A 27,024-nucleotide genomic window follows, 5' to 3' on the forward strand; every position below is an offset into this window, starting at 1 on the left:
CCATCTAAAAAAAAAGAAAAATCACCTCCAAGATAACTTAGCTTTCTTCTGCTGGCATAACAAATTATCTCAAACTTAGTCGCTTAAAAATGCAAATTTAGGCTGAGTGCGGAGGCTCACGCCCATAATCCTAGCACTTTGGGAGGCCAAGGCAGGATTGCTTGAGGCCAGGAGTTCGAGACCAACATGGCCAGAACTGTCTCTTTTTAAAAAATGCAAATGTGTCCGGCACGGTGGCTCACGCCTATAATCCCAGCACTTTGTGAGGCCAAGGCGGGCAGATCACGAGGTCAGGAGATAGAGACCATCCTGGCTAACACTGTGAAACCCCCTCTCTACTAAAAATACAAAAAATTAGCCTGGCGTGGTGGCAGGCGCCTGTAGTCCCAGCTACTCGGGAGGCTGAGGCAGGAGAATGGCGTGAACCCAGGAAGCGGAGCTTGCAGTGAGCCGAGATGGCGCCACTGCACTCCAGCCTAGGCAACAGAGCAAGACTCCGTCTCAAAAAATAAATAAATAAAACTGCAAATGTATTCTCTAACTGTTCTGTAGGTCGGAAGTCCAGCCCAGCCTCACTCCGCCAAAATCAGGGTGTCTGCAGGGCCGATTGCTTTTGGAGCTCCAGGGGAGAAGCTGTTCTGGCCTTTCCAGTTTCTGGAAGCACTTGAGCCCCTTGTCTCGTGGCCTATCCCACACCTGAAAGCCAGCCAAAGCCAGTTGAGTCCTCACCCTGTTGGCCCCGACACTGATCTCCTGCCTCCCTCATCTGCTGTCAAGGCCCCTTGTGATGACATGGGGCCACCAGCTGGCCCAGGGCACCTCCTGTCAGAGTCCGCCGACCAGTGACCTTCATTCCATCTGTCGCTGTAATTCCCCTTTGCTTGGAACCAACGTTCACAGATCCCAGGGGTTAGGATGTGAATATCTTGGGCAGGGCTGTGGGGGGGCTATTCTTCCTTCTAAAATATTTATCATTTTTGTTTTGGGGATTTTTTTGGTTTGGTTTTTTTTGAGACAGAGTCTCGCTCTGTCGCCCAGGTTGGAGTGCAATGGTGCAATCTCAGCTCACTGCAACCTCTGCCTCCGGGCAGACGTGAGCCACTGCACCAGGCCTGTTTTTGTTTTTGTTTGTTTTGTTTTGTTTTTGAGATGGAGTCTCGGCCGGGCGCGGTGGCTCACGCCTGTAATCCCAGCACTTTGGGAGGCCGAGGCGGGCGGATCACGAGGTCAGGAGATCGAGACCATCCTGGCTAACACGGTGAAACCCCGTCTCTACTAAAAATACAAAAAATTAGCCGGGCGTGGTAGCGGGCGCCTGTAGTCCCAGCTACTCGGGAGGCTGAGGCAGGAGAATGGCGTGAACCCGGGAGGCGGAGCTTGCAGTGAGCCGAGATCGCGCCACTGCACTCCAGCCTGGGCGACAGAGCGAGACTCCGTCTCAAAAAAAAAAAAAAAAAAAAAAAAGAGATGGAGTCTCACTTTGTCACCCAGGCTGGAGTGTAGTGGCGGGATTATAGGTACGCGCCATCATGCCCAGTTACTTTTTGTATTTTTAGTAGAGACAGGGTTTTACCATGTTGGTCAGACTGGTCTCAAACTCCTGATCTCAGGTAATCCACCCGCCTCAGCCTCCCAAAGTGCTGGGATTACAGACGTGAGCCACCGTGTCTGGCCATATTTATTAACTACAAAGGGAAAGATGATAATTTTTTTTTTTGAGATGGAGTCTCACTCTGTCACCCAGGCTGGAGTACAATAGCGTGATCTTGGCTCACTGAAACCTCTGCCTCCCAGGTTCAAGCGATTCTCCTGCCTCAGCCTCCCAACTAGCTGGGATTACAGGCGCACGCTACCAAGCCCAGCTAATTTTTGTATTTTTAGTAGAAACGGAGTTTCACCATGTTGGTGAGGCTGGTCTCGAACTCCTGACCTTGTGATCTGCCCACCTCGGCCTCCCAAAGTGCTGGGATTATAGGCATGAGCCACTGCAACCGGCTGAAAGATGGTAATTTTAAAGTAGAGAAACTGGGTTGGCTGGGCATGGTGGCTTATGCCTGTAAGCTCAGCACTTTGGAAGTCCAAGGCAAGAGGATCGCTTGAGTCCAGGAGTTTGAGACCAGCCTGGACAATATAGCAAGACCCCATCTCCGCAAAAGCTAAAAAGTTAGCCAGGTGTGGCGGCACATGCCTGTAGTCCCAGCTACTCAGGAGGCTGACGTGGGAGGATCACTTGAGACCAGGAGGTCAAGGCTGAAGTGAGCTGTTATTGTGCCACTGCACTCAGCCTGGGCAACAGAGCGAGAGTCTGTCTCCAAAGGTAAAAAAAGGTCCAGGCACAGTGGCTCACACCTGTAATCTCAGCACTTTGGGAGGCCGAGGCGGGCAGATTCGTTGAGGTCAGGAGTTCAAAACGAGCCTGGCTAAATGGTGAAACCCCGTCTCTACTAAAAATACAAAAAAATTAGCCAGGCATGGTGACGGGCGCCTGTAATCTCAGCTACTTGGGAGACTGAGGCAGGAGAATCATGTAAACCCAGGAGGCTGAGGTTGCAGCGAGCCAAGATCATGCCACTGCACTTCAGCCTGGGCGACAGAGCAAGACTGTCTCAAAACAAAACAAAAGAATCTTGAGTCCTGAGTTCCTCTAAGGGAAATTCCAGGCACCTCGCCACCCTTGACAGGCAAAGGAACAATCTGATGAGGAAGAAGATAGAAACAGCTTAAACAATAGTCTCCCGGCCGGGGGCAGTGGCTCACGCCTGTAATCTGAGCACTTTGGGAGGCCGAGGCGGGTGGATCACAAGGTCAAGAGATCAAGACCATCCTGGCTAACATGGTGAAACCCCGTCTCTACTAAAAATACAAAAAATTAGCCGGGCGTGGTGGTGGGTGCCTGTAGTCCCAGCTACTCGGGAGGCTGAGGCAGGAGAATGGCGTGAACCCAGGAGGCGGAGCTTTCAGTGAGCTGATATCGCGCCTCTGCACTCCAGCCTGGGCGACAGAGCCTCGAGACTCCATCTCAAAAAAAAAAAAAAATTAGCTGGGTGTGGTGGCTCACACCTGTAATCCCAGCTACGTGGCAGGCTGAGGCAGGAGAATCGCTTGAACCTGGGAGGCGGAGGTTGTAGGGAGCTGAGATCGCACCACTGCACTCCAGCCTGGGCAACAGAGCGAGACTCTGTCTCAAAGAAAAAAAAAAAAAACAAAAAAACAATAGTCTCCCAAGTAAGTCAGAGTCACAAGGTGTTTTGATTCCCTGTGGAAACTAAAATATAACAGCTTAACATATGTTCTTGAGTTATTTTTCAGAAACTTGGACATCCACCAGGTGGAAAATGCTGAGCTAGGAACAGTGGCTATAATTTCAGCCTTTTGAGAGGCCAAGGTGGAAGGATCACTTGAGGCCAGGAGTTAGAGACCAGCCTGGCCAACATGGTGAAACCCCGTCTCTAGTAAAAATACAAATATTAGCTGGGCATGGTGGTGCAACCTGAAATCCCAGCTACTTGGGAGACCTAGCTGGGAGGATCGCTTGAACCTGGTAGGAGGAGTTTGCAGTGAGCTGAAATTGTGCCACTGCACTCTAGCCTGGGCAACAGAGTGAGACTCTGTCTCAAAAAATAAATAAATAAAAAGAGAAAAAAGTGTTGCCTGCAGGCCGGGCACAGTGGCTCACGCCTGTAATCCCAACACTTTGGGAGGCCGAGATGGGCAGATCACCTGAGGTCAGGAGTGCAAGAACAGCCTGGCCAACATGGTGAAACCCCATCTCTACTAAAAATACAAAAGTTAGCTGGGTGTGTACATGTAGTCTCAGCTACTTGGGAAGCTGAGGCAGGAGAATCTCTTCAACCGGGGAGGTGGAGGTTGCGATGAGCTGAGATCACGCCACCACACTCCATCCAGCCTGGGTGACAGAGTGAGACTCCATCTCAAAGCAAAAAAAGAAACATAGGTGGGACCCTTGGTGTGTCCTTAGGGCATGATGGTTGAGGTATACTGCTGGTCCTGTCATGTAAAAGAAAACGAGCCGACTCTGTGTCTACTGGAGAAAGCACTGCATATATCAGCCACAGTCAATACCTCGCTTCTGCAGGGACGGTGGCTGCCAGAGTGGGAGGCTTTGGTAGCACCCATGTCGTGGAATCACAATGTTGTCGATAGCTCTGGGGTCTTGTACAAAATGCCAGATCCTCCCATTTGGTTTCCTTATGGGAAGGATCGCAGTACTATAATACATGGGCTTGTGCAAGGGATCATTATACCCTTTTCTCTTTTTTTGCTTTTCTTTGAGACAGAGTTTCACTCTCGTCACCCAGGCTGGAGTGCAATGGCGCGATCTTGGCTCACTGCAACCTCCACCTCCTGGGTTCAAGTGATTTTCCTGGCTCAGCCTTCTGAGTAGCTGGGATTACACATGCCCGCCACCAGGCCTGACTTATTTTTGTATTTTTAGTAGAGACAGGGTTTCACCAAGTTGGTCAGGCTGGTCTTGAACTCCTGACCTCAGGTGATCCACCCACCTCGGCCTCCCAAAGTGTTGGGATTTCAGGCATAAGCCACCAGGCCCAGCCTTTCTTTCTTTTTAAAATTAATCTTTGTTTAAAAATACTCTCATTTTTTATTTAATTGTAGCACTCCTAGATCCCGAAAGCAGATACACTCTTGTTATGGGTCTGATTCTTTTCATTGCTTCACGCCTTAGAGGATATTGTCCAATACTGGATAAAAGTTTACTCAGGTCTACTTCCACTTTAACGGGGATGGCTGAATATCTCTTCCACTTGGCTGTTCGTTTATAATGAACTGACAAACATACAAATTTTCTTGAGTTCTGTGAGACATTCTAGTAAATCATCTAACCTGAAGAGCAGGTTGTGAGAACCCCTGATTTAGAAAGCCCAGTGGTCATAAATATAAGTGGCTCTGGACTGGCTCCCGGGGTCTGAAGTGTGGGCAGTCGGTTAGGATTGAGCCCTTGTAATTTGTAGGATCTGACACACCCTCCAGGAAGGCAGTGTCAGAATTTACCTGTATTATATTGGACACCCAGTTAGCGGTTGGAGAATTGGTTGCTGGTATAGAAAAATACCAAATATTTTATGTCAGGGGAGTGAAAGAAAAAACAAAAACCCGGCCGGGCGCGGTGGCTCACGCCTGTCATCCCAGCACTTTGGGAGGCCGAGACGGGCGGATCACGAGGTCAGGAGATCGAGACCATCCTGGCTAACACGGTGAAACCCCATCTCTACTAAAAATACAAAAATTAGCCGGGCGTGGTGGCGCGCGCCTGTAGTCCCAGCTACTCGGGAGGCTGAGGCAGGAGAATGGCGTGAACCCGGGAGGCGGAGCTTGCAGTGAGCCCAGATCGCGCCACCGCACTCCAGCCTGGGCGACAGAGCGAGCTCCGTCTCAAAAAAAAAAAAAAAAAAAAAACCCATACACTTTAAGGAAAGCAACTGACAGCATTTGTTACCAGTGATAAAATTTGAGCTTTGAAGTAAGAATAACAATTTTGCCATTGTGCCCGGGCCAAGAAAAAAAAAAGAATTTTGCCATTGTGAAAGGCTTCCCAGTACTTTCTGATGAGCTTGACGGTGATATTAACAAATAACTTTTTTTTTTTTTTTTTGAGATGGGGTCTTGCTCTGTCACCCAGGCTGGAGTGCAGTGGTTCAATCTCAGCTCACTGCAACCTCCGCCTCCCAGGTTCAAGCGATTCTCCTGCCTCAACGTCCCAAGTCGCTGGACTACAGGTGTGCGCCACCACGTCCAGATAATTTTTGTATTTTTAGTAGAGATGGGGTTTCACCATGTTGCCCAGACTGGTCTCAAACTCGTGACCTCAGGCGACCCGCCCACCTCGGCCTCCCAAAGGTGGGAGGCCTTGCTGGGATTAGAGGTATGAGCCGCTGCACCTGGCCTCTTGTCCTTGTGTTTTGCAGTGATGCAATGACCATGTCTTACATTTGCAACCAGAAAAAAAGGTTAGTGTAACAATGTTTATCCTGTTTTTCCCAGAGTAGACATTATGAAGATTAAAAAAATTTGAAAGTGTTTTGAATATAATAAACTATGCTATACACACAACATTTTGGTGACTAGAAATACAAGTTTATTGTTTGTTGTTTGTTGAGACAGGGCCCTGCTCTGTCTCCCAGGCTGGGTGGCACAATCATGGCTCACTACAGTCTTGAACTCCTGGGCTTAAGCGATCCTCCCACCTCAGCCTCCAGAGTAGCTGGGACTGCAAACGAGCACCACCACGCCTGGCTAATATTTGTATTTTTTGTAGAGATGGGGTTTCACCATGTTGCCCAGACTGGTCTCAAACTCCTGGGCTCAAGCAATGCTCCTGCCTCGGCCTCCCAAAGTGCTGGGATCACAAGTATGAGCCACTGCACCCGGCTGAGTTTCTGTTGTTTTAAGCCGCTTCATTTGTGGTACTTCTTACAGCAGTCCCAGGAAACTGAGCAACTGCAGAACATCAAAATTGTTTTTCTTCAGCAAAAGGAGAAGCACTTGTGGTTGGCACCAGCTTTTCCTGTGCTCACTTCTGCATGGCCGCACCTTTGCCCGACACGAGTGCACAGCAGGCTGTGGGGGAGCAACTGGTTGAGTCAGGCCTCCACTTGTGCCGTATCCCCACCTGCTTTGCTGGACACCCCTGTTTGGGGGGCACCCACTGCTGCCCCAGACACCAAGCAAGCACCAGCTGTGTCCAAAACATACAGTCACTGTCTTGGCCCGTTTTGTGCTGCTGTAACAGAATGCCACAGACTGGGTAATTTAATACAGAACAGAAATTTATTTCCTCAAAGTTTTGGAGGCTGGGAAGTCCAAGAGCAAGGGGCCATCAGGTCAGGGCCTGGTCTCTGCTTCCACGATGGCACCTTGACCACCGTGTCCTCACGTGGTCAGAGAGAGCCCACTCCCAGGAGCCCTTTTAATAGAGCAGAACACTGCTGCGCTGCGGTTAAGTTTCCAACACGTGAACTTCGGAGGTGACACATTCAGATCATAGCAGTCACTCTAGGCAGAGTGTCTGATGTGGTTTTAAAATACGTTCACAGACTGGCCGGGCACTGTAGCTCACGTCTGTAATCCCAACAGTTTGGGAGGCCAAGGTGGGTGGATCACCTGAGGTCAGGAGTTCAAGACCAGCCTCACCAACATGGTGAAACCCCATCTCTACTAAAAATACAAAATTAGCCAGGTGGTGCATGCCTGTAATCCCAGCTACTCGGGAGGCCGAGGCTGGAGAATCGCTTGAATCCAGGAGGTGGAGGTTACAGTGAGTCGAGATCATGCCATTGCACTCCAGCCTGGGCAACAAGAGCGAAACTCTGTCTCAAAAAATAAAATAAAATAAAATACATTCACAAGGCCGGGCACTGTGGCTCACGCCTGTAATCCCAGCTACTTGGGAGACTGAGGCAGGAGAATCGCTTATAACCTGGGAGGTGGAGGTTGCAGTGAGCTGAGATCACACCGCTACACTCTAGCTTGGGCAACAAGAGTGAAACTCCGTCTCAAAAAAGTAAAATAAGGCCAGGCATGGTGGCCCACACCTGTAATCCCAGCACTTTAGGAGGCCAAGGCGGTCGGATCACGAGGTCAGGAGTTCGAGACCAGCCTGGCCAACATGATGAAACCCCGTCTCTACTAGCCTAGCCAACATGGGGAAACCCTGTCTCTACTAAAAATACAAAAATTAGCCAGGCGTGGTGGTGCGTGCCTGTAATCCCAGCTACTCAGGAGGCTGAGGCAGGAGAATCGCTTGAACCCAGGAAGCAGAGGGTGCAGTGAGCCAAGATTGCGCCGCTGCTCTCTAGCCTGGGCGACAGAGCGAGACTCCATCTCTAAATAAATAAATAAAATAAGAAAATAAAATATGTTCACAAATCCTTTGACATTCCTCACCTCAAAAGCTGGAACCCAACTCCCTCCTAAGCATGAGTCTTCTCAGTGACTCACTTCTAACAGCAGATCTTACATGGTTCCCCACACCCAGAGGACATTGGGTTCCTCCCAATATCCCCCCACCCAGCGACCCCCACCCAGGTCGCTGGCTTTGGGTCCCCCAGAGCCATGTTTCAAGGACACTCAGGCAGCCCCTGGATGTCCATGTGGTAAGGAATGAAGGCCTCCTGCCTGCAGCCTCGGGAGGGAGCATTCTCAGAAGAGGATGCCCCACCTCCTGCCCAGCCTTCAGATGGCCAGGACCTCGTCCAACGTCCTGACTGCAACATCATGAGAGACTCCGAGCCAGAAACCCCCAGGTTTTGTACTCCTGACTTATGGGAACTGACAGATAATGTTCGTTGTTAATTAAGGGGTGACTTGTCACACACAATAGGTCACTAAACAGCTCTGTCTGGCCTCCCAGGAGGAGCCTGCCTTTCCTTTTCTTCATGGGAAAAGTGCGATCAGTTTGTGAAGGAATGTCCGCCCCCACTTGATGCCAGAGGCTCCACATGGTGACTGTCATAAACTCCATCTGCCCTCAGTGCCTTGCCAGCACCCGGCCTGCGATCAGCTTGGTCTTGCGGGAGGCCAAGGCCCACGTGTGTTTGTGTGTGGTGTCTGTGTCTGCGTGCCCATGCATGCCCAGGGTACAGGGATGCCATATACAAATTCTTTCAATGTTGTATGTGGCATGTGTGTGTCTGTATGCCCAGGATACAGGGATGCTATATACAAACTCTGTTTTTTCGTTTTTTTTTTTTTGAGACAGAGTCTTGCTGTTTCGCCCAGGCCGGACTGCAGTGGCGCTATCTCGGCTCACTGCAAGCTCCACCTCCCGGGTTCACGCCATCCTCCTGCCTCAGCCTCCTGAGTAGCTGGAACTACAGGCGCCCGCCACCACACCCGGCTAATTTTTTGTATTTTTAGTAGAGACGGGGTTTCACCATGTTAGCCAGGATGGTCTTGATCTCCTGACCTCGTGATCCACCCGCCTCAGCCTCCCAAAGTGCTGGGATTACAGGCATGAGCCACCGCGCCTGGCCTACAAACTCTTTCTTTTTTTTTTTTTTTTTTTTGAGATGGAGTCTCACTGTCTTCCAGGCTGGAGTGCAGTGATGCGATCTCAGCTCACTGCAAGCTCCACCTCCCGGGTTCATGCCATTCTCCTGCCTCAGCCTCCCAAGTAGCTGGGACTACAGGCACACACCACCACGCCCAGCTAATTTTTTGTGTTTTTAGCAGAGATGGGGTTTCACCATGTTAGCCAGGATGGTCTCGATCTCCTGACCTCGTGATCCGCCCGCCTCGGCCTCCCAAAGTGCTGGGATTACAGGCGTGAGCCACTGCGCCCAGCCTGCAAACTCTTTCAATGTCTTTCTTTTCTCTCTCCTGCCATCTTCTCCCTTGCAGATTTCTTTTGTCTCTAGGTCTTCCCCAGCTGAGTCCGAGGTCCTGACTTGCCCACGCTCCCTGGACTGGAGGAGAGGTGATAGCAAGAGCTCCTTCAAGCCCAGGAATGCCACCAGGGCTGCCCTGGGAGAGGAGGAAGCTGGGTCTCTCGGGGTTGTGGGGACCAGACACCCTTCTAAGACATGGACTCAGCACAGAAAGTCTAGACATCCACTACAAACACATCTCCCTCCTAACAGGGGGCCCCTGGGCACCCCAAGTGGCTGTTTGGTGGGACAGGCATGTCCATCAGTCAGAATATCTTTATTTTTTATTTTTTATTTTTTATTTTTGAGAGAGTTTCACTGGAGTGCAATGGCACGACCTCAGCTCCCTACAACCTCCGCCTCCCAGGTTCAAGCGATTCTCCTGCCTCAGCCTGCCACGTAGCTGGGATTACAGGTGTGAGCCACCACACCCAGCTAATTTTTTTTTTTTTTTTTTGAGATGGAGTCTCGAGGCTCTGTCGCCCAGGCTGGAGTGCAGAGGCGCGATCTCAGCTCACTGAAAGCTCCGCCTCCTGGGTTCACGCCATTCTCCTGCCTCAGCCTCCCGAGTAGCTGGGATTACAGGCATGAGCCACCGCGCCCGGCCAATTTTGTATTTTTAGTAGAGACAGGGTTTCACCATGTTGGTCAGGCTGGTCTTGAACTCCTGACCTCAGGTGATCCACCTCCCTCGGCCTCCCAAAGTGCTGGGATTACAGGCCTGAGCCACCACGCCCAGCCCAGAACGTCTTCTTACTTTTTATTACTCTGTCCCCCATCCTGGGTCCAGACCTGTGACCGTGAACAACCGGCTGCCCAGGGGTGAATGGGGTGAGTGGGGTGAGTCCACAGAACAGTGGGGTGCAGCCCCAGGGGTCTCGTAGCACCTGCCCCCATGTCAGGAAGTCCCACAGCCTAGAGGCTCCAGCCTCAGATGCATACATATGTAGGCCCTGCCCTTTCCTCCTGAGCGGCGGGCCACAGAGTCCTGAACAACAGGAAGCCCCTGAGGAGGGCTCCGCCCTGAGGGAGGGCAGGGGAGCCCCCGCCAGCCCCACCCACAGCAGCGGGCCCTGCCACCCCCCACCCTGACACCTCACCCCTTGGATTCCAGAGAGGAAAGTGGGCTTGTGTGTAGTTTACATGCTCATATCTTAAAATCACTGTTGTCAATAGAACAATTCATAATCATGATGATAAAATAAGATTTATAACCAGCTTCAGTCTGGAGATACACACAGAGCAGATCTTCACTCCCAGACAGGGAGCCCGCAGCTGCCCCCGACCCCACAGGTGCAGGACACACACAGACAGTTCAACCATGTCTTAAACACACAGGTGTTTATTTAATTGTTCATTTGATTGAATTTTTAAGTTCACTTTACTACGTGGATGAGATGGGTGCATATTACAGTAGGCTTTCGCTATGAGCGCTGCCACCATGAGGAATATCCCAGCCCTCAGTTCTGCTTCCCTTTCTGAGTCCCACAAAAGCCAGATGTGGACAGCCTTGGGTTCCCATCCCAGCTGGCTGCTCCTTCTGGGGCTGTCTTGGTGGGGAGAGGGAGATGGGGCAGTGGGTCCCTGCTGACCCCTGAGCCCTGCAGGGGTCAGGATCCTCCCGTGGTCCCTGGGTGTGACTCTGGAAGACACTGGCAGTGCCCGGCCAAGGCCTCCCGCAGGATGGAAGTTGAGGGCCCTGGCTCTGGGTCCTAAGAGAACTCAGCCGCCCCCTTCACACTTTACAGCAAGGGGCCAGGCAGCAGCTTTGGGATGGGGCTTCCGTGGAGAAGTGGGGGATGCTGCAGTGGTACAAAGACAGCCTCCCCCACCGCCATCCTCCAGCTGACCGTCCTCCAAGGCCAGCACTGGGCGTCCAAGGGAAAGAAGGAACTCAGCCCAGAGGGTGTGGGCAGGAGAGGCCTGGAGTCAGGCCTCCACCCACAGCCCCCTCTGGGTGCCAAGTGGGAAGGGTGTTGGGGCTGGCTTGGGAACCTTACCCGCTGCCCTTCCAACACCTGGATCTGTGGGCAGCGGTCCCACAAAATCCCCCTTGGGGCTCCCTGAGGAGGACTTGTGGCTGCCGCTTCCACCAGGGCAGAGGGCACAGGAGGGGCCAGCACTCCAAAGGGCTCTAGGGTGGGTCTTTCAAGGACATCTGCAAAGCCCTGGTGGGGAGGGGCCTGGGCCAGAGGCTCTTTGGAACTCTTGCACTTCTGAGTGGGGGACTGTCCATGCTGCCCACAACCTCTAGACCATGCAGCCTGCTCATGGGTCCCTGGCAGAGAATGCCCACTCCCCAGCAGACTCAGGGCAGGCCCCCAACTGCAGGCTTCCAGGAAGGCCCAGGGTGTCCACCTCACGCCAGGTGGTCTCAGAGGACCCCTGTGCAACCACATTAAGGAAAGCTGCAGCCCCCACCCACCCGCCTGCCAGTTCAACAAGCACCGGCTGCACACGCAGGCTCCCAGGCACCATCACCCCCCTCCCCCGTCGCCCCTCCCTCATGGGGAGCCCCTTCCCCCTGGAAAGACAGCAGGTACTGTAGCCTCGCCTGCTGGCCAGGGGCGCCGGCTCAGAGGACCTGCCCTGACCTGCACGTGCTGACCAGACAGCCCAGCGTAAGGACCCGTGATCCCACGCCACCGCCCTGGGTTTACCACGGTCACCGCCACCTCTCTCACAGGGCCCCCGGGGGACCCAGCCGCGCCCGGCCTGGTGTCTGCACCGAGGGACCGCGTCTCACGCCCGGCGGCTCCTGCAGGGGAAGCCGTGGTCAGCGACTCACCACGAGGACAGGGCAGGGCGGCTGAGTGCGGAAGAGAAGCATGAAGCTGGGGGCGGGGGTGGGGGAGGAGGAACAAAAGTTGCATCTAGACAGAGGTGAACGAAACAAAACCAAAACCCGAACGTGTTCTGTCGCAGGATGGGCGCCGCCCGTCCCGGGCCCTTAGCCCGACATCTCTTCTCGCTGCTCCTTGTTCCTGCGCACCTCGGCCGCGTGCAGCTCCTGCAGGACAGGGGGCGGGAGGGCCTGAGGGCGGGGGTGGCTTGGGGCGACTCCGGGAACCCCCAGGCGCGCAGGCCGTGGCGCCCTGGCACCCGCCCGGCCTCATCCGGGCTGGCCTTCGGCAGGACCCTGACTGAGTTGAGGGGGCGGGAGCACCGGGGAGGCGCAGAGCAAGGCCAGGGACCAAGGACGGGTTTCCTGGGAGCTGGCTGGGCCCCGCTTCTAGCTCGTACCGGAGCCGAGCTTCCTTCAGGGCACTTTCAATATAATGAATTTAGCCATCTATTACTGCGGCTAGTTACTGTCCCGCCAGGACCAGACTCTGGACCTGCCTCGTGCGCTGCTGGGGACGCCCAGTAAACACGGGAGGAGCCCCCGACCCCCACCCCAGCTCAGCGCCTCGGAGTCCCCGGCCCCGCTCTGCGCCCCTCCGAGCTCCGCCCTAGCCCCGCCCCCGCCCAGTGCCCCGCCCCCTGCCTGCTGCTAGCCCTGCCCCCGCCCCGGCCCCTGCCCGCTCCGAGCTCCGCCCCGGCCCCGCCCCGGCCCCTGCCCGCTCCGAGCTCCGCCCTGGCCCCGCCCCCGCCCAGTGCCCCGCCCCCTGACTGCTGCTAGCCCTGCCCCCGCCCCGGCCCCTGCCCGCTCCGAGCTTCGCCCCGGCCCCGCCCCGGCCCCTGCCCGCTCCGAGCTCCGCCCCGGCCCCGCCCCCGCACCTTCTCGCGCAGCCGCTCGCGCAGTGCGGCCAGGTGTGCCTCGCGGATCTCCTTGCTGAGCTCCATCTTGTAGTTGAGCTTCTCCTCCGCCTGGCGGCTGAAGTTGTTATTCTCCTCCAGCGCCTTGTGCAGCACCTCGCGCTCGTGCTCGCGCCGCTCCGCCAGCTGCTTCAGCACCTGCGCCTCCTGCGTCTGTGCGGGGCCGGCGGGCGCGCGTGAGCGGCAACCCCGGGCCCTGCCCGGCCGGACTCCTCCCTGCTCTCCGCCTCCCGCCCAGCGCCCGCTCGCCTCACCTGGCGCCTCCACCTGCCCAGGCCTCGGTGGGCGCCGGGACCCCCGGGCGCTGCCCTGGGAACCCTCGCCTGCCATCCGGCCTGTGGTCGGGGCAGGGCCAGGGGGTCGCGATCCGCCGCCCCCGCCCCCGTCCCTGCCTCGCGCGCGGGTCCCGCGGTCCTGGCTGCGCCCAGGGCCCCCGCCATACCCTGCCGCCACTGCACACCCTGCCCTGCGCGTCTGCCCCTCCAAGGACCAGCAGCAAGAAACCCTAAACTTGTGGGCGGTCTCTGAGCTTTGTCTCTTCCTCGGACATCCGCCCACTGAGCAGAGTAGCTGCTTGTTACACACCGGGTTCCCAGCTCCCAATTAGGTGCCCAGGAGCGGAGGGTCCCCAGGGATGCTGGGGGAGGGGCCGGCTGGTGACCCCTGGGAGGAGAGCGGGGCAGCAGGACCCGCACCCACATGCCAGTCCCTACTAGTCAGCCCTGTGAACCCTGGTCTCTGGCCTCACCGGGAAGGGAACGGAGCCGCTTCCCCTGCCCAATGCGTTGGCCTCCAGGGTGGCACCCCCAAAAGGACATTTTTATCTCTGTTTCAGTCTCAGAGGGGCTGGTGGGAGGGGAGGCTGCAGGGAGGGGACCTGGAGCCCACACCCACCTCTCCCAGGGCCCCTCCGCCCTCCAGCAAGCCTCAGGGTCTTCACACATGAGGCCCTTCCTCCAGCTTCCCTGTCTGGGAGAGGGATGCCCCACCCGACGTCCCCAGGGCCCATCTGGGGACCACCCCCTAGCATCCTGCTGGCCCTGACAAGGGTGCCTCCCACCCTCACCAGAGGCTCCTGCTCCTTCCAGGTGGCCGCCTCGGAACCCTTCCTCCTCTCCATCCCTTTCTTTTTTTGTTCTTGTTTGTTTTTTGAAATGGAGTCTCACCCTGTCGCCCGGGCTGAGGAGTGCAGTGGCGCAGTCTCGGCTCACTGCATCCTCCACTTCTTGGGTTCAAGCAATTCCCCTGCCTCAGACTCCCTAGTAGGTGGGATTACAGGTGTGCACCACCACACCTGGCTAATTTTGTATTTTTAGTACAGATGGGGTTTCACCATGTTGGCCAGGCTGATCTTGAACTTCCAACCTCAAGTGATCTGCCTGCCTCAGCTTCCCAAAGTTCTGGGATTACAGGCGTGAGCCACCACACCCGGCCTCTCCCCATCCCATTCTTATCTCTCAGAAAGAGGCCCAGGGAGCCACAGCCCCTCCTGCTCCAGGCCAAGGCACTGACCAAGCCTGTCCGGGAGCACCCTGCTTCTTGCAGGCCCTGTCCCCGTGGGCCGCCTCCGTTGAAACTCCTGGGGGGTGGGGGATGGAGGACTCCTTGCCTTCCTCCGCTCCTCGGCTGCCTCCAGCCGCTTTTGCAGCTCCTCCAGGGAGGTGTCCTTCTTCTTGGGTGGGGAGGAGAGCATAGGGCTCTCTGGGGACAGGTCAGAAGGGGACTTGAGGATGACCTCGAAGCTCTGGCCTGAGGCCCGCTTGTCCAGCTGCTTCACCTCCATGTCTGCAGGGCAAGACCAGAGTAGAGCTTCAGAGGCCCGGCCAGGGCATGGCGTGGGCTGAGCGGGATGCTCCCAGCACACATCCAACCCCAGGGCTGGGCGAGAGGGGGTGGCTGCTCCCGCAGGAATCCCAGGCTTCAGCCCCCAGGATGGGCCCCTTCCCCCTAGAACCTCCCTCTCCAGAGGCAGCCAGGACGGGAGTTCAGAGAGACTGCCGGAGGCCGGGGGAAAAGGTGAGGTGGGCAGGCACCGCAGGGAAGGGCAGGCGGCAGCCAGGCACTCACCCCCGTACTGGTAGACGGTATTGGGGTGCGGCTGTGTGTAGAAGCAGGAGCAGATGAGCGACAGCACCGACAGCTCCTTCATCTTCTCCTTGTAGGCTGTGGGCACAAGGCTGGGCTGAGCAAGCACCACTGGGGCCTGCCCACCTGGGCCCCCGTTTTCCCTCCCCATGGCTGCCTCTATCATGTCTCTGTGAGACACGGAGCTGCCCAGCACGCTCTCTTGTGTGTCTCCACACCGCCGGCCCCTTCGTCTCTCCAGCTCTCTCGCTTCCAGACGTCGGCACTGTCTCCGTGGTGTGTCCCCTGCCTTCTGTCTCTCTCGCCCTCTGCCTCTCCCCGCTTTTCCTCTCTCTCGGCATTAATGTCTGTCTCATCTTCCACACTGACTTGTTTCTCCATCCTTCTCCTGCCTGCTGTGGTCTGAATGTTTCCATTACCCAAAACTCATGTGTTGAAATCGTAACCCCAAGGTGCCGGTGTGCGGAGGTGAGGCATTCGGAGGGAATTAGGCCATGAGGATAGAGCCCTCCTAAGTGGCCCCAGAGTGGGGCTTCAGAGAACTCCCTCACCTTCCATCATGTGAGGACACAGCCAGAAGACGCCACCCGTCTATGTACCAGGAGGCGAGACCTCTCCAGGCACCGACTCTGCCGGCACCTTGATCCTGGACTTTCTGGCCTCCAGAGCGATGGGAAATAAGTTCCTGTCGTCTATAAACCACTCAGTCTCAGGTACCTGCCCAGACTGACAAAGTGGCTACCCCTGCCTGTCTGGGTCTCTGTTTACCTTCTGTGTGTCTGACTCTGTCACTGTCATTGTATCTTTCTGTGTCTCTGGGGGTAGCCCCTGACTCTGTCTTTCTCCCTGAGTGCATCTTTCTGTGATTCCTTGTCACTGTGTGTCTTTCTGACTCTTACCTCCCTCTGTCCCGCTACTTCTCTCTCCCCTCCTCCTCCTTCCCACTCCTCGCCAGCTCAAGCAGGCAAGATTTACTCATGACGGGACCAGCACAGATGCAAACCCTCTGTGGGCAGGACTTTCTTGGGCTGTAAACCTGGATGAAGCCCTCAGACCCTCCTTTTTCCTTCCCAATGATTGTGTGGTCACCTTGAGATGAAACCAGGCCCTCTCCAGGCACATGCTCTCTGTCTATCTAGGGCTGGGCTTGGGCCACTGATGCCACCAAGGAGCAAGGGAGGGAAGCTGTCCGTTCAGCACCACAGCCAGCCCTCTTGCCCATTCAGGTCAATCAAGTGCCCACCAGCCAGTGTCCCTGCTGCCCAACCCAAACCAGAAGCAAGCCGGGCTCCTGTGGCCCTGTGCCCTGTCAGGGGAAGAGGAAGGCGCCTGCTGTCACAGTGAAAATAATTTAGCTCTTTTGGTCTATTCAGGGCGAACCTCATTCCTAAGCAGACACGCTGGCCCGGTTTCTCACTAGTGCTCGATAATCCTTTTGGCTGGGTGCAGTGGCTCATTTAACTGTAATCCCAGCACTTTGGGAGGCCAAGGCAGGTGGAACACCTGAGGTCAGGAGTTTGAGACCAGCCTGACCAACATGGTGAAACCCGATCTCTACTAAAAATATAAAAATTAGCCAGGCGTGGTGGCAGGCACCTGTAATCCTAGCTACTTGGGAGGCTGAGGCAGGAGAATCGCTTGAACCTGGGAGGCGGAGGTTGCAGTGAGCCGAGGTCGCGCCATCGCACTCCAGCCTGGGTGACAGTGTGAGACTCCGTCTCAAAACAGAAAGAAAAAGAGAGAGAGGAAGAAAGGAAGGAGGGAGGGAGGGAGGAAAAGAAGAAAGGAAAGGAAAGGAAGACAGACAAGGCAGAAGTAATCAAGCCTTTCATGGTGAGCTGGGTCTTCTGGTGACAGTGCAGAGAATGGTCTGTCCTGACTTAAATTTCCTGGTGACCTACACTTTTCTGGACAGAGCAGCACAGAGCCCAAGAGGGTGTAAGGAGGAGCAGAAAGGAATCCCAGGGTGGGCAGGCCCGTGCGAGAGCCTTTGGGGGAAGGAATGAGACTTTGAGCCGGGAAGCGAGGCAAAGCTACCTGTCTTGGTCATTGTCTTCAGGGAGGGAGATGGAGGGGGACCAGGTGGGGGAGCCTCACAGGGGACTTTGGTCTGACTTGTCAAGTTTTCTTTTTTTCTTTTTGAGATGGAGTCTTGCACTGTTGCCCAGGCTGCAGTGCAGTGGTGCGATCTCGGCTCACCGCAAGCTCCGCCTCCTGGGTTCACACCATTCTCCTGCCTCAGCCTCCCGAGTAGCTGGGACCACAGGCACCGCCACCACACCCAGCTAATTTTTTGTATTTTTAGTAGAGACGGGGTTTCACTATATTAGCCAGGATAGTCTCGATCTCCTGACCTCGTGATCCGCCCGCCTCGACCTCCCAAAGTGCTGGGATTACAGGTGTGAGCCACTGTGCCTGGCCTACTTTATTTTTTAGAAACAGGACTGTGCTCTGTTGCCCATGCTGGAGTGTAGGGTGCAGCTGTGCGGTTCACTGCAGCCTTGAACTTCTGGGCTTGACGGATCCTGCCATCTTAGCAGCTGGGACTACAGGTGCATGCCAGCACACCAGTTTTCTTTTTTTTTTTATCTCTGCTCACTGCAATTCCGCCTCCTGGGTTCTAGCGATTCTCCTGCCTCAGCCTCCCAAGTAGCAGGGATTACACGCACATGCCACCACACCCGGCTAATTTTTGTATTTTTAGTAGAGACAGGGTTTCACTATGTTGGTCAGGCTGGTCTTGAGCCACCGCGCCCGCCCGGCCTACACACCAGCTTAAAAAAAAGAAAAAAATAGCTGGGCGTGGTGGCTCATGCCTGTAATCCCAGCACTTTGGGAGGCTGAGGCAGGCAGATCACCTGAGGTCAGGAGTTCAAGACCAACCTGGCCAACATGGCGAAACCCTGTCTCTACTACAAATATAAAAATCAGCCAGGCGTGGTGGCGGGCTCCTCTAATTCCAGCTACTTGGGAGGCTGAGGCAGGAGAATCACTTGAACCCGGGAGGTGGAGGTTGAAGTGAGCCAAGATCGAGCTACTGCACTCCAGCCTGGGAGCAAGACTCCCGTCTCAAAAAAAAAAAAAAAATTTGTAGTGGTATGGAGGCCGGGCATGGTGGCTCACGCCTGTAATCCCAGAACTTTGAGGGGCCAAGGCGGGCAGATCATGAGGTCAGGAGTTCGAGACCAGCCTGACCAACATGATGAAACCCTGTCTCTACTAAAAATAACAAAAATTAGCCAGGCATGGTGGCGGGCACGTGTAGTCCCAGCTACTCGGGAGACTGAGACGGGAGAATCGCTTGAACCCAGGAGGCAGAGGTTGCAGTGAGCTGAGATCACGCCACTGCACTCCAGCCTGGGTGACAGAGTGAGACTCTGTCTCAAAAACAAACACAAACAAACATATATATATATACATGTATATATATAATATATATATACGTATATATACACGTGTATATATATAATATATATACACGTGTATATATATTATATACATATATATACACGTGTATATATATAATATATATACATATATACACGTGTATATATATAATATATATACGTATATATACACGTGTATATATAATATATATACGTATATATGTATATATTAATATATATACGTATATATACACGTGTATATATTAATATATATACGTATATATACACGTGTGTATATATTAATATATATACGTATATATGTGTGTGTGTGTATATATATATGTATATATATATATATATATACATATATATATACAGAGAGAGAGAGAGTAGTGATAGGTCTTGCTGTCTTGTCCAGGCTGATCTTGAACTCCCGGCCTCAAGAGACCCTCCCACCTCAGCCTCCCAAAGCACTAGGATTATAGGTGTAAGCCACAGTACCTAGCCTATTAAAAATTAATGTTAAACAAGAGGATGTGATGAGGGAGTTAGAGGGTGTGCCAGCCATGTGTTCCACAGCAGCAGGTCAGGAGACATTGGGGACATTTAGAGGAGCTGAAGAGGTGGCCAACCCTGTGCTCAGGAGGACGGGGGAGGGAGAGAGCAAGAGGGAGTTTGGGCTGGGGCAGAACGTACCTGGGTCCTGAGAGGATAAGAAGGTAGGGACTTGGCCCCTCCAGGCCTGACTCTGCCAGCAACCAGCTCCCTATCAGCAGACTCCAGGCCCCTACCCTTCAGCTCATCCTTCCTTATCACACATCCAAAACTCTGAATGTGGCCGGGCGCAGTGGCTCACGCCTGTAATCCCAGAACTTTGGGAGGCTGAGGCAGGAGGATCGCTTGAGAACAAGAGTTTGAGACCAGCCTAGGCAACATGGTGAAACCCCATCTCTACTAAAAATATAAAAATTAGCTGGGTGTGGTGGCACATGCCTGTTGCCCCAGCTACTCAGGAGGCTGAGGCAGGAGAATCACTTGAGCCTGGAAGGCGGAAGTTGTAGTGAGCAGAGATTGTGCCACTGCGTTCCAGCCTGGGCAACACAGCGAGACTCTGTCTCAAAAAACAAAAACTGGAATGTGTTTACCATAAAGGCCAGAAAATGTGATTAACAGCTGCTCAAAGCCCCTGTCTGCCCTAAGCCTGAAATTTTCACCGAAAAAAAGATCTGTAGGCTCATACAGAGGAAGGACAAACACCAGGGAGGCTCTCTTCCAGTTTGCTTCACCTCAGCAAGCAGACGGCTGGCAGCAATTTGGGGGCAGGTGTGAGCACCTGCATCATCAGGAAAGAAGGGGCACGGTGGGGACGCAGGTCAGACCTCTCACAGGTCTTGGCTCTGCCCAGGAGACACGTGTCCAACTGAGAGGTGAGGAACTGGGTTCTGCAGCTGCAGACACAGGTGCGGCTCAGCATCTGATGGCCACGGAGACCCCCTGGCTTGGCTTCTCCCAGCTGGTGGCCCATGAGGAGCTTCTATCCCAAGAGACTGTCCCTCAAGGAGCAAGTGGGACCAGGTACCCACAGGACGGAGCCTGGGAGTGAGGCCTGCCCTGTGGTCTGGCTACAGGGAGGAAGGGCAGATTGGAGGGGGCAGGACAGCAGGTCAGGAATTGGCCAACTCTGGAGAGAGCAAGCAAGGGGAAGTCTGCGCACAGGGCAGGGCTGGTCAGGGGCGAGGCAGGGCATTGGACCAGTATTTTCAGAGCTGGTGAGGCTTAAAGAGCATGTCTACTGCCTCTTATTACAGAGAGAGGATGCCGAGGCCCAGACCCATCCAGGCCACCTCTCCACAGACACAGCTGGTGCCAGGGAAGCCCCTCCCAGAGCCTCAAGGCATTGCTCCCTCTCTCTCTCTCTTTTTGTTTTTTTGGAGACGGAGTCTCACTCTGTCTCCCAGGCTGGAGTGCAGTGGTACAATCTCGGCTCACGGCAAGCTCCGCCTCCCGGATTCACGCCATTCTCCTGCCTCAGCCTCCCGAATAGCTGGGACTACAGGCGCCCGCCACCACGCCCAGCTAATTTTTTGTATTTTTAGTAGAGACGGGGTTTCACTGTGTTAGCCAGGATGGTCTCGATCTCCTGACCTTGTGATCCGCCCGTCTCAGCCTCCCAAAGTGCTGGGATTACAGGTGTGAGCCACCGCGCCTGGACTTTTTTTTTTTTTTTAAGACGGGGTCTCACTCTGTCACCCAGGCTGGAGTGCAGTGGCGCGATGTCGGCTCACTGCAACCTCTGCCTCCCCAGTTCAAGTGATTCTCCTGCCTCAGCCTCCCAAGTAGCTAGAATTACAGGCACATGCCACCATGCCCAGCTAATTTTCTGTATTTTTAGTAGAGATGAGGTTTCACCATGTTGGCCAGGCTGGTCTTGAACTCCTGACCTCCGGTGATCTGCCCACCTCAGCCTCCCAAAGTGCTGGGATGACAGGCGTGAGCCCCCGCGCCTGGCCCCCCGCAGTGCTGGGATTACAGGCGTGAGCCCCCGCGCCCGGCCCCTCCCTCTCTTTGACTCCCTTCTTTCTCACCGCCCCCTCCCCACCATCCTTCCCCTTCACTGACTTCAGGGAGTTAAAAACAATTCTCGCAGTGAGCTGGGCTTGTTTTGTCTCCCTGCTTCTCTTTGTACTAAACATTAGATACCGAGGAAATGCGGATTGGCCTTTGGATGATTCATGAGCAGGAGTCAGAAAAAGGCACCAGGTTGGCCTCAAGCAGCAGGGTATAGTAGTGCCCGCTCCCAGGGTCACACCTCACGCCCACCCCTCCCGCCGTCCAGGTGGATGGTGCCCACTCCCAGGGTCACACCTCACGCCCACCCCTCCCGCCGTCCAGGTGGATGGTGCCCACTCCCAGGGTCACACCTCACGCCCACCCCTCCCGTCGCCCAGGTGGATGGTGCCCACTCCCAGGGTCACACCTCACGCCCGCCCCTCCCACCCACCCGGGTGGATGGTGCCCGCTCCCAGGGTCACACCTGACGCCCACCCGGGTGGATGGTGCCCGCTCCCAGGGTCACACCTCACGCCCACCCCTCCCGCCCGCCCGGGTGGATGGTGCCCGCTCCCAGGGTCACACCTCACGCCCACCCCTCCCGCCGTCCAGGTGGATGGTGCCCACTCCCAGGGTCACACCTCACGCCCACCCCTCCCGCCGCCCAGGTGGATGGTGCCCACTCCCAGGGTCACACCTCACACCCACCCCTCCCGCCCACCCGGGTGGATGCCCTTATCAGCTCTCCTTCTCCTTCTCTTTCGTCTTCTTCGTCTTCCTCCTCTTCTTTCTTCTTTTTTTTTTTTTTTAGAAAGAGTTTCTACTCTTGCTGCCCAGGCTGGAGTGCAATGGCACAATCTCAGCTCACTGCAACCTCCCTCTCCCCGGGTCAAGCAATTATCCTGCCTCAGTCTCCCAGATTGCTGGGATCACAGGAGTGTGTCACCACACCTGGCTAATTTTGTACTTTTAGCAGAGAGGGGGGATTTCACCATGTTGGCCAGGCTAGTCTCGAACTCTTGACCTCAGTTTATCCACCGGCCTCAGCCTCTCAAAGTGCTGGGATTACAGGCATGAGCCACCCTATCTGCCTCACTTCTACAGAGGAGGAATGAAGGCTCAGAGAGGGCAAGCATTCCACCCAGCATCACACAGAGTGCCGGGTGAGAGCCCAGTCATGAGCCTGGGCCTGACTGCAGGCTCCTGTTGGGAGCTCGCGGAGGTGGGGGATCTGTCCAGAACTGAGAGGCCAGGGGACCACAGTGGCCTCTGACCCCTGGAGGGCCCTGGAGGCTGCTGCCGGCTCCCCCCGGGGGCAGATGGAGGTCACTGTCACCCAGGCTGCTTCTCATGGTGCCAGGAGCACAGCATGGCAGGAGCCACCAGCCGATTTGCCTTTCCCTGGGCAGGAAACTCAGAAATGTGGCTACCACAGTCAGGCTGCTTGACGTGCGGTGAGCACTCATCTCTTAGCAGGCAAGCGGCCAAGCACCTTTCCTGAAATATTGAGGCCTCAGAACAAGCCCCAGGAGAGGTGCCAGCACCGTCATCTCTACCCAGATAAGGAGACCCAGGTCCTGAGAGGTTAGGCAGCTCGGACAACACCACACAGCTGGAGGAGGTCAGACTCTGGGTTGCAGAAGGAGAATGTGAGCAGAGGCCACAAAAGAGCGAGGAGCCAGTGCCCAGATGCCGAGATGCCCTCGCCCTCCCAGCTCAGCCCCAGGAACCGAGCCCATGGGGAGGGACCGTCAGGGAAAGGCTGTCAGGAAGGGCAGGAGGCGGCCCTGGAGAGGACGGCGCTGCCCTCAGGGGCAGGAGGGGAGTCCCCTCCGCTGAGAGCCCCCCCACCCCCAGTATCCCCGGGGGTGTCCAGGAGGAGGCGGAGGGAGGAAGCGCAGATGGACAGGACTCCCAGATAGGGTGGGGAGGTGTGGCCGGTGACACACACGGTCCCCTCCTGGCAGGTGCTGAAGTCACCTGGAGCCTCCAAGCCCGTGGGGCCTGAGGGGCGGGGTCAGGTCGGGCACGCGTGGGTGGGCGGAGTTCTGCGCCCCGGGCCAAGGCGCCCGAGTTGAACCAGTCAGCTCGGGAGAGGGACCGCGGCGACCTGTCCCGGGGGCGTAAGAAAAGGTGGGAGGGAGTGCGGCTCGTGAACGGGGGCGGCGATGGGAAGGAGGTGCGGCCCTTCGTCCTGTCCTCCCAAACGTCGAGTGAAAAACGAAGCGGGTTCTGCGGCCTCGCGGCGGAGCAGAGCGTTTCGGGAAGGGCGGGCCCAGCGTCCTCGCGCCCGAGGTCGCCCGGCAGCTCCCCTGCGTCCAGAATCCGCCCCCCGCCCGGGCCTGCGCCCGCCCCTCCGCCTGAGCTCCGCGCGGGACGGGCCGGGAGGCCGGGGTGGGCGCTACCTTCGAAGGCGGTGGGTCCGCCCCGCGGGAGGTGGAGGGGCGGGAGGGGCGGAGCCCTCTGGTCTCCGGAGGGTTTGGGGATCGCAGTCGCCCCTCCCCCATCCAGACCCCGCGGCGCAAAGGGCAGTGGCTTTTCTGGCCAGAGCAGGTGGCGCGGGCGTCGCAAAGGGTGGTCCCCGAGGCCGCAGCGGTGTGGGGGGAGGGCGCGGTCCCCCTCACTCCGGGCTCCGCCGTGTCTGGCCCGCCCCCCTCCTTCAGCGCCCCCTCCAGCCCCTGTGCTGCACTGGCGCGGGGAGCGCCGGGTTCCCGGCTGGGGCTTTGGCAGAGGGTCCCACCCTCTCCCCGCCTCCCCACGAAGGCTCTGGCGGACCCAGATCTCGGGTCGCCGGACGCCCCAGGGACCCCGCCCGCACATCGCGAGCGCGCCCACCCGGTCGCGAGCCCACGCCCGGGTCTGGGAGCCACCCTGCGGCAGTCGCGCCCTGCGTGGCACGCTGCTCCCCCAGGGGCGAGGCGCCCCCGCCCGACGTCCCGGTCCCGAGCGCTCCCCGGCGCGGCGCCTCGCAGCCCAGCGCCCCACCAGCCCCGCCGGCGCCGCAGACCCCAGCCTCGGGCGGGTCGGGCCCAGGCTTGCAACGCGCAGGGTAGGAGAAGGGAAATTGGCGTCCGCTGCCGGCCGCTGCCCCAGGCGAGGCCAGACGAGGCCTCTGCTCAGATCCCGCCGCCCCACAAAGCCCGTGGCCCCGGAGCCTACCGGAAATGGTGCTGGCCATGGTGCTGGCGGCGGTTGGGCCTGCGGAGGCTGGAGAGGCGCAAGTGGCGGCCGGAGCTGCAGACGGCTGGTGCTGCAGTGCCGGGGAGGGGAGGGGAGAGGAGTGGAGGGAGCGAGGGCGGGCGGGAGGCGGGCGCGGCGGGAGAGAGAGAGGGAGGGAGACAGAGGGAGAGAGAGAGAGGGTTGGGGGAAGGAGCGGGGGGAGGAGGGAGGGAGGGTTGGGGGAAGGAGAGAGAGAGAGAGAGAGACTGCGGGGGCGGGGGAAGGAGGGAGGGAGGAAGGGAGGGAGGAAGAGAGAGAGGAGCAAGCGCCTGGCTGCGGAAGGGGCCGCGGCTCTCAGGGGGAGAGGGCGGAGGAGGGGGGCTACCCGAACTGCAACAAGACCCCCCACCCTCCAACCGCTCACAGCGGGACAGCTGCTTCTCCAACTTGGCTTTGTGAGGCCTGAGAGTGGGGTGGGGGTGGAGATGAGCCCCCATTCCCCAGGGCAGGCGGGGCAGGGGCAATGCCGGAGGAGCAGGTCCCACCCATGGGGTGGGGCCGCAGAGCTCTTCGCCGCCAAGGCCGCTGTAGGCTGGGCTGGCGCCAACAGGGTCCAGGTCTGTGCCTGCCATCGGAGAGGATGCCACAGCCACAGGGGTGGGCGCTGGCCTGGAGGCCTCCAAGGGGCATCTCCTGTGAGCCCAGGGGATGGGCAGGATCTGAGCGGAGAAGAGTGAAAGTGGAGGAGTGAGGCCAGAACAAAGGCTTTGCCGTGAAAGAGGTGGTTTCCCGCCTGGGCTCAGACCTTCACTCACTGTGTGGCCCAGGCCAAGGGCAAGCGTCTGACCTCGCTGGGCCTTTGTTTCTCAGGGGTAAGATGAAACAATGATGCCCCCAGACGATGGAGAGGAGGGGTGCCAGGGTTGTGCGCACTTAGTGAGTGGGGGGCAACCTATCCTGCCTCCCCCTCTCCTCATAACTCCCAAAGGGAAAGCCTGGTAGGCAAACGGAGCGTCTTTGCCATTGCAGGGATGAAGCCACCGAGGCAGGGAGAAAAGTGCTTTGCCCTACAAGCAACTAAGTCATAGGGCCAGGAGCAAAACCCTGAAAACCTCAGGAGACTTGCAGAGCCATGAGGCTGGCTCAGCAACACAAAAGCCAGGGGCAAGCCTCAGCTCTAGCAGTGCGGTGGGAGCACCCAAGGCCAGTCACATCCTAGGGTGGCCTGGAGAGTCCTGACCCCTGACGTGCAAGCCGGCATCATCCCCGGGACTGTGAGTCTGGTGGGGGTGATGCCCAGGAATGTGACATTGTGTGGCCCAGAGGTACCCTTAAGACTGGAGGATCACCAGGCGGGCCCTGACCTCATCACAGGAGCCCTTTAAAAGCAGTTTCCTTTGCCTGGTTGAAGAAATCGGAGGGATCAAACCAAAGAAGGTTTTCTGTTGTTGAGATGAGGGGGCCACGTGGCAAGGATCTGAGAACTGCTCCCAGCCAACAGCCAGCAAGACAACAAGACCTTAACTGCAAGGAAGTGAGTTCTGCCAACAAGAAGAGAATGGGCTTGGAGGCAGGTTTGACCCCAGGGCCTCCACACAAGAACTGAGCCCAACTGCCCACTTGGTTTCAGCCTTGGGTTACTAAGAATTAGGAGGTAATGAATGAGAGTTGTTTTAAGCTGTTGGTTTTGTGGTGATTTGCTATGAAGCCATATCAAACTAATATACACACAGAGGTGTTGGCCCCTGGGCCATTCCTAGGAAGCCAGCTCTGCGAAGGAGGAAGAAGGGCAGAGAGGCACACAGAGCTGCCCACCACAGCAGCTGTGTCCTCCCTGTTGGCCACCACAGTAGCAGTTGGGGATGGTCAGCATCCTTCAGGCAGACTCCAGCCCCGGGTGCTGGAGCTCAGGTGCTAGGGATCAAGAGAAGTAGCCCTCTCTGGGACCTCCAGAGTCTTCTCATGTGGGTGGGGTAGGACCCACCCAGTCAGGCTCAGAGCACCGCAATGCCTCACACTCATTGTGACTCTGGCCAGGCCCTCTCTGAGCCTCTGTGTCCTCATCTGGAGCACAGGGACCAGGTGTGTGGAAGCCCGTGGCATAGTGCCAGGAACACAGTAGATGTGCACAGTGTGCACTAGCAGGAACACACAACAGGGGTACTGACTGTCAGCACCTAGGCAGGCACACGCAATGGGGTACTGACTGTCAGCCATACTGACTGTCAGCGTGCTAGCAGGCATACACAACAGCTGTACTGACAGCACACTAGCAGGCACATGCCATAGGTGTACTGACTCTCAGTGCACTGGCAGGCACACGCAATAGGAGTAATGACAGCATGCTGGCAGGCACACAATAGCTGTACTGACTGTTTGCCCCAATATAGTGCCAGGTCTTGGAGCAGATTTTGACTTCTCACCAAGATCAAATGCAGAAAGTGCACGAGCATTTCAAAGATGTTTTTCACATGCACATTAGTGCTAGTTAAAAAAATGTTTTGACTGGGTGCAGTGGCTCACAACTGTAATCCCAACACTTTGGGGGGCCGAGGTGGGCAGATCACCTGAGGTCAGGAGTTTGAGACCAGCCTGGCCAACATGGTGAAACCCCATCTACCCTAAAAATACAAAAATTAGCCAGGTGTGGTGGCAGGTGCCTGTAATCTCAGCTACTTTGG

At 56.5% G+C, this 27,024-nt stretch overlaps 1 protein-coding gene across 3 annotated transcripts, besides 20 other annotated features; it reads right to left on the minus strand.

Annotated features, from left to right (window-relative positions):
• Nucleotides 2,582-2,751: an enhancer, noted in NCBI's record as "experimental_61211 CRE fragment used in MPRA reporter constructs". NCBI's record gives its function as "activates a minimal promoter by MPRAs in K562 erythroleukemia cells, with activity observed for both the introgressed and non-introgressed 20:62263003 or rs67114507 variant alleles {active_cell/tissue: K562}" and the evidence as "EXISTENCE:reporter gene assay evidence [ECO:0000049][PMID:34662402]".
• Nucleotide 2,667: a transcriptional cis regulatory region, noted in NCBI's record as "Neanderthal adaptively introgressed variant 20:62263003 (GRCh37/hg19 assembly coordinates) or rs67114507 in the experimental_61211 CRE". NCBI's record gives its function as "modulates activity of the experimental_61211 enhancer by MPRAs in K562 erythroleukemia cells {active_cell/tissue: K562}" and the evidence as "EXISTENCE:reporter gene assay evidence [ECO:0000049][PMID:34662402]".
• Nucleotides 6,544-6,593: a silencer, noted in NCBI's record as "silent region_13169". NCBI's record gives its function as "represses an Ori minimal core promoter by ATAC-STARR-seq in GM12878 lymphoblastoid cells {active_cell/tissue: GM12878}" and the evidence as "EXISTENCE:reporter gene assay evidence [ECO:0000049][PMID:35858748]".
• Nucleotides 6,794-6,843: an enhancer, noted in NCBI's record as "active region_18236". NCBI's record gives its function as "activates an Ori minimal core promoter by ATAC-STARR-seq in GM12878 lymphoblastoid cells {active_cell/tissue: GM12878}" and the evidence as "EXISTENCE:reporter gene assay evidence [ECO:0000049][PMID:35858748]".
• Nucleotides 9,654-10,414: an enhancer, noted in NCBI's record as "H3K4me1 hESC enhancer chr20:62269990-62270750 (GRCh37/hg19 assembly coordinates)". NCBI's record gives its function as "activates a minimal SCP1, AML or CMV promoter by ChIP-STARR-seq in primed H9 embryonic stem cells {active_cell/tissue: H9 hESC(primed)}" and the evidence as "EXISTENCE:reporter gene assay evidence [ECO:0000049][PMID:30033119]".
• Nucleotides 10,458-10,547: a silencer, noted in NCBI's record as "silent region_13170". NCBI's record gives its function as "represses an Ori minimal core promoter by ATAC-STARR-seq in GM12878 lymphoblastoid cells {active_cell/tissue: GM12878}" and the evidence as "EXISTENCE:reporter gene assay evidence [ECO:0000049][PMID:35858748]".
• Nucleotides 10,729-24,441, minus strand: STMN3 (stathmin 3). 3 transcript variants are annotated; one of them, NR_075070.2, is made up of 5 exons: nucleotides 24,344-24,441; nucleotides 15,231-15,326; nucleotides 14,676-14,948; nucleotides 13,125-13,316; nucleotides 10,729-12,414 (listed from the first exon to the last, which is right to left on the minus strand). NR_075070.2 is itself a non-coding variant. In NM_015894.4 (5 exons), the coding sequence occupies exons 1-5, from the start codon at nucleotides 24,360-24,362 to the stop codon at nucleotides 12,355-12,357; spliced, it is 543 nt and encodes a 180-aa protein (NP_056978.2). In that variant the 5' UTR covers nucleotides 24,363-24,441; the 3' UTR covers nucleotides 10,729-12,354. The 3 variants fall into 3 exon arrangements, 2 of the variants coding, with proteins under 2 accessions (NP_056978.2, NP_001263239.1); NM_015894.4 differs by having other exon boundaries at nucleotides 14,773-14,948; NM_001276310.2 differs by lacking the exon at nucleotides 24,344-24,441 and adding an exon at nucleotides 23,590-23,783 and having other exon boundaries at nucleotides 14,773-14,948.
• Nucleotides 11,935-12,693: an enhancer, noted in NCBI's record as "H3K27ac-H3K4me1 hESC enhancer chr20:62272271-62273029 (GRCh37/hg19 assembly coordinates)". NCBI's record gives its function as "activates a minimal SCP1, AML or CMV promoter by ChIP-STARR-seq in naive H9 embryonic stem cells {active_cell/tissue: H9 hESC(naive)}" and the evidence as "EXISTENCE:reporter gene assay evidence [ECO:0000049][PMID:30033119]".
• Nucleotides 12,373-12,682: a silencer, noted in NCBI's record as "silent region_13171". NCBI's record gives its function as "represses an Ori minimal core promoter by ATAC-STARR-seq in GM12878 lymphoblastoid cells {active_cell/tissue: GM12878}" and the evidence as "EXISTENCE:reporter gene assay evidence [ECO:0000049][PMID:35858748]".
• Nucleotides 12,823-12,972: a silencer, noted in NCBI's record as "silent region_13172". NCBI's record gives its function as "represses an Ori minimal core promoter by ATAC-STARR-seq in GM12878 lymphoblastoid cells {active_cell/tissue: GM12878}" and the evidence as "EXISTENCE:reporter gene assay evidence [ECO:0000049][PMID:35858748]".
• Nucleotides 13,003-13,202: a silencer, noted in NCBI's record as "silent region_13173". NCBI's record gives its function as "represses an Ori minimal core promoter by ATAC-STARR-seq in GM12878 lymphoblastoid cells {active_cell/tissue: GM12878}" and the evidence as "EXISTENCE:reporter gene assay evidence [ECO:0000049][PMID:35858748]".
• Nucleotides 13,003-13,760: a biological region, named in NCBI's record as "H3K27ac-H3K4me1 hESC enhancer GRCh37_chr20:62273358-62274096".
• Nucleotides 13,022-13,760: an enhancer, noted in NCBI's record as "H3K27ac-H3K4me1 hESC enhancer chr20:62273358-62274096 (GRCh37/hg19 assembly coordinates)". NCBI's record gives its function as "activates a minimal SCP1, AML or CMV promoter by ChIP-STARR-seq in primed H9 embryonic stem cells {active_cell/tissue: H9 hESC(primed)}" and the evidence as "EXISTENCE:reporter gene assay evidence [ECO:0000049][PMID:30033119]".
• Nucleotides 13,363-13,432: a silencer, noted in NCBI's record as "silent region_13174". NCBI's record gives its function as "represses an Ori minimal core promoter by ATAC-STARR-seq in GM12878 lymphoblastoid cells {active_cell/tissue: GM12878}" and the evidence as "EXISTENCE:reporter gene assay evidence [ECO:0000049][PMID:35858748]".
• Nucleotides 15,110-15,679: an enhancer, noted in NCBI's record as "H3K27ac-H3K4me1 hESC enhancer chr20:62275446-62276015 (GRCh37/hg19 assembly coordinates)". NCBI's record gives its function as "activates a minimal SCP1, AML or CMV promoter by ChIP-STARR-seq in naive H9 embryonic stem cells {active_cell/tissue: H9 hESC(naive)}" and the evidence as "EXISTENCE:reporter gene assay evidence [ECO:0000049][PMID:30033119]".
• Nucleotides 19,253-19,547: a silencer, noted in NCBI's record as "tiled region #12780; K562 Repressive DNase matched - State 8:EnhW". NCBI's record gives its function as "represses a minimal TATA promoter and a strong SV40 promoter by Sharpr-MPRA in K562 cells {active_cell/tissue: K562}" and the evidence as "EXISTENCE:reporter gene assay evidence [ECO:0000049][PMID:27701403]".
• Nucleotides 22,574-23,144: an enhancer, noted in NCBI's record as "H3K27ac-H3K4me1 hESC enhancer chr20:62282910-62283480 (GRCh37/hg19 assembly coordinates)". NCBI's record gives its function as "activates a minimal SCP1, AML or CMV promoter by ChIP-STARR-seq in primed H9 embryonic stem cells {active_cell/tissue: H9 hESC(primed)}" and the evidence as "EXISTENCE:reporter gene assay evidence [ECO:0000049][PMID:30033119]".
• Nucleotides 24,119-24,208: a silencer, noted in NCBI's record as "silent region_13175". NCBI's record gives its function as "represses an Ori minimal core promoter by ATAC-STARR-seq in GM12878 lymphoblastoid cells {active_cell/tissue: GM12878}" and the evidence as "EXISTENCE:reporter gene assay evidence [ECO:0000049][PMID:35858748]".
• Nucleotides 24,229-24,278: a silencer, noted in NCBI's record as "silent region_13176". NCBI's record gives its function as "represses an Ori minimal core promoter by ATAC-STARR-seq in GM12878 lymphoblastoid cells {active_cell/tissue: GM12878}" and the evidence as "EXISTENCE:reporter gene assay evidence [ECO:0000049][PMID:35858748]".
• Nucleotides 24,421-25,100: an enhancer, noted in NCBI's record as "H3K27ac-H3K4me1 hESC enhancer chr20:62284757-62285436 (GRCh37/hg19 assembly coordinates)". NCBI's record gives its function as "activates a minimal SCP1, AML or CMV promoter by ChIP-STARR-seq in primed H9 embryonic stem cells {active_cell/tissue: H9 hESC(primed)}" and the evidence as "EXISTENCE:reporter gene assay evidence [ECO:0000049][PMID:30033119]".
• Nucleotides 25,101-25,779: an enhancer, noted in NCBI's record as "H3K27ac-H3K4me1 hESC enhancer chr20:62285437-62286115 (GRCh37/hg19 assembly coordinates)". NCBI's record gives its function as "activates a minimal SCP1, AML or CMV promoter by ChIP-STARR-seq in naive and primed H9 embryonic stem cells {active_cell/tissue: H9 hESC(naive and primed)}" and the evidence as "EXISTENCE:reporter gene assay evidence [ECO:0000049][PMID:30033119]".

Source organism: Homo sapiens, chromosome 20 (assembly GCF_000001405.40).
Source record: "Homo sapiens chromosome 20, GRCh38.p14 Primary Assembly".
Lineage (NCBI taxonomy): Eukaryota > Metazoa > Chordata > Mammalia > Primates > Hominidae > Homo > Homo sapiens.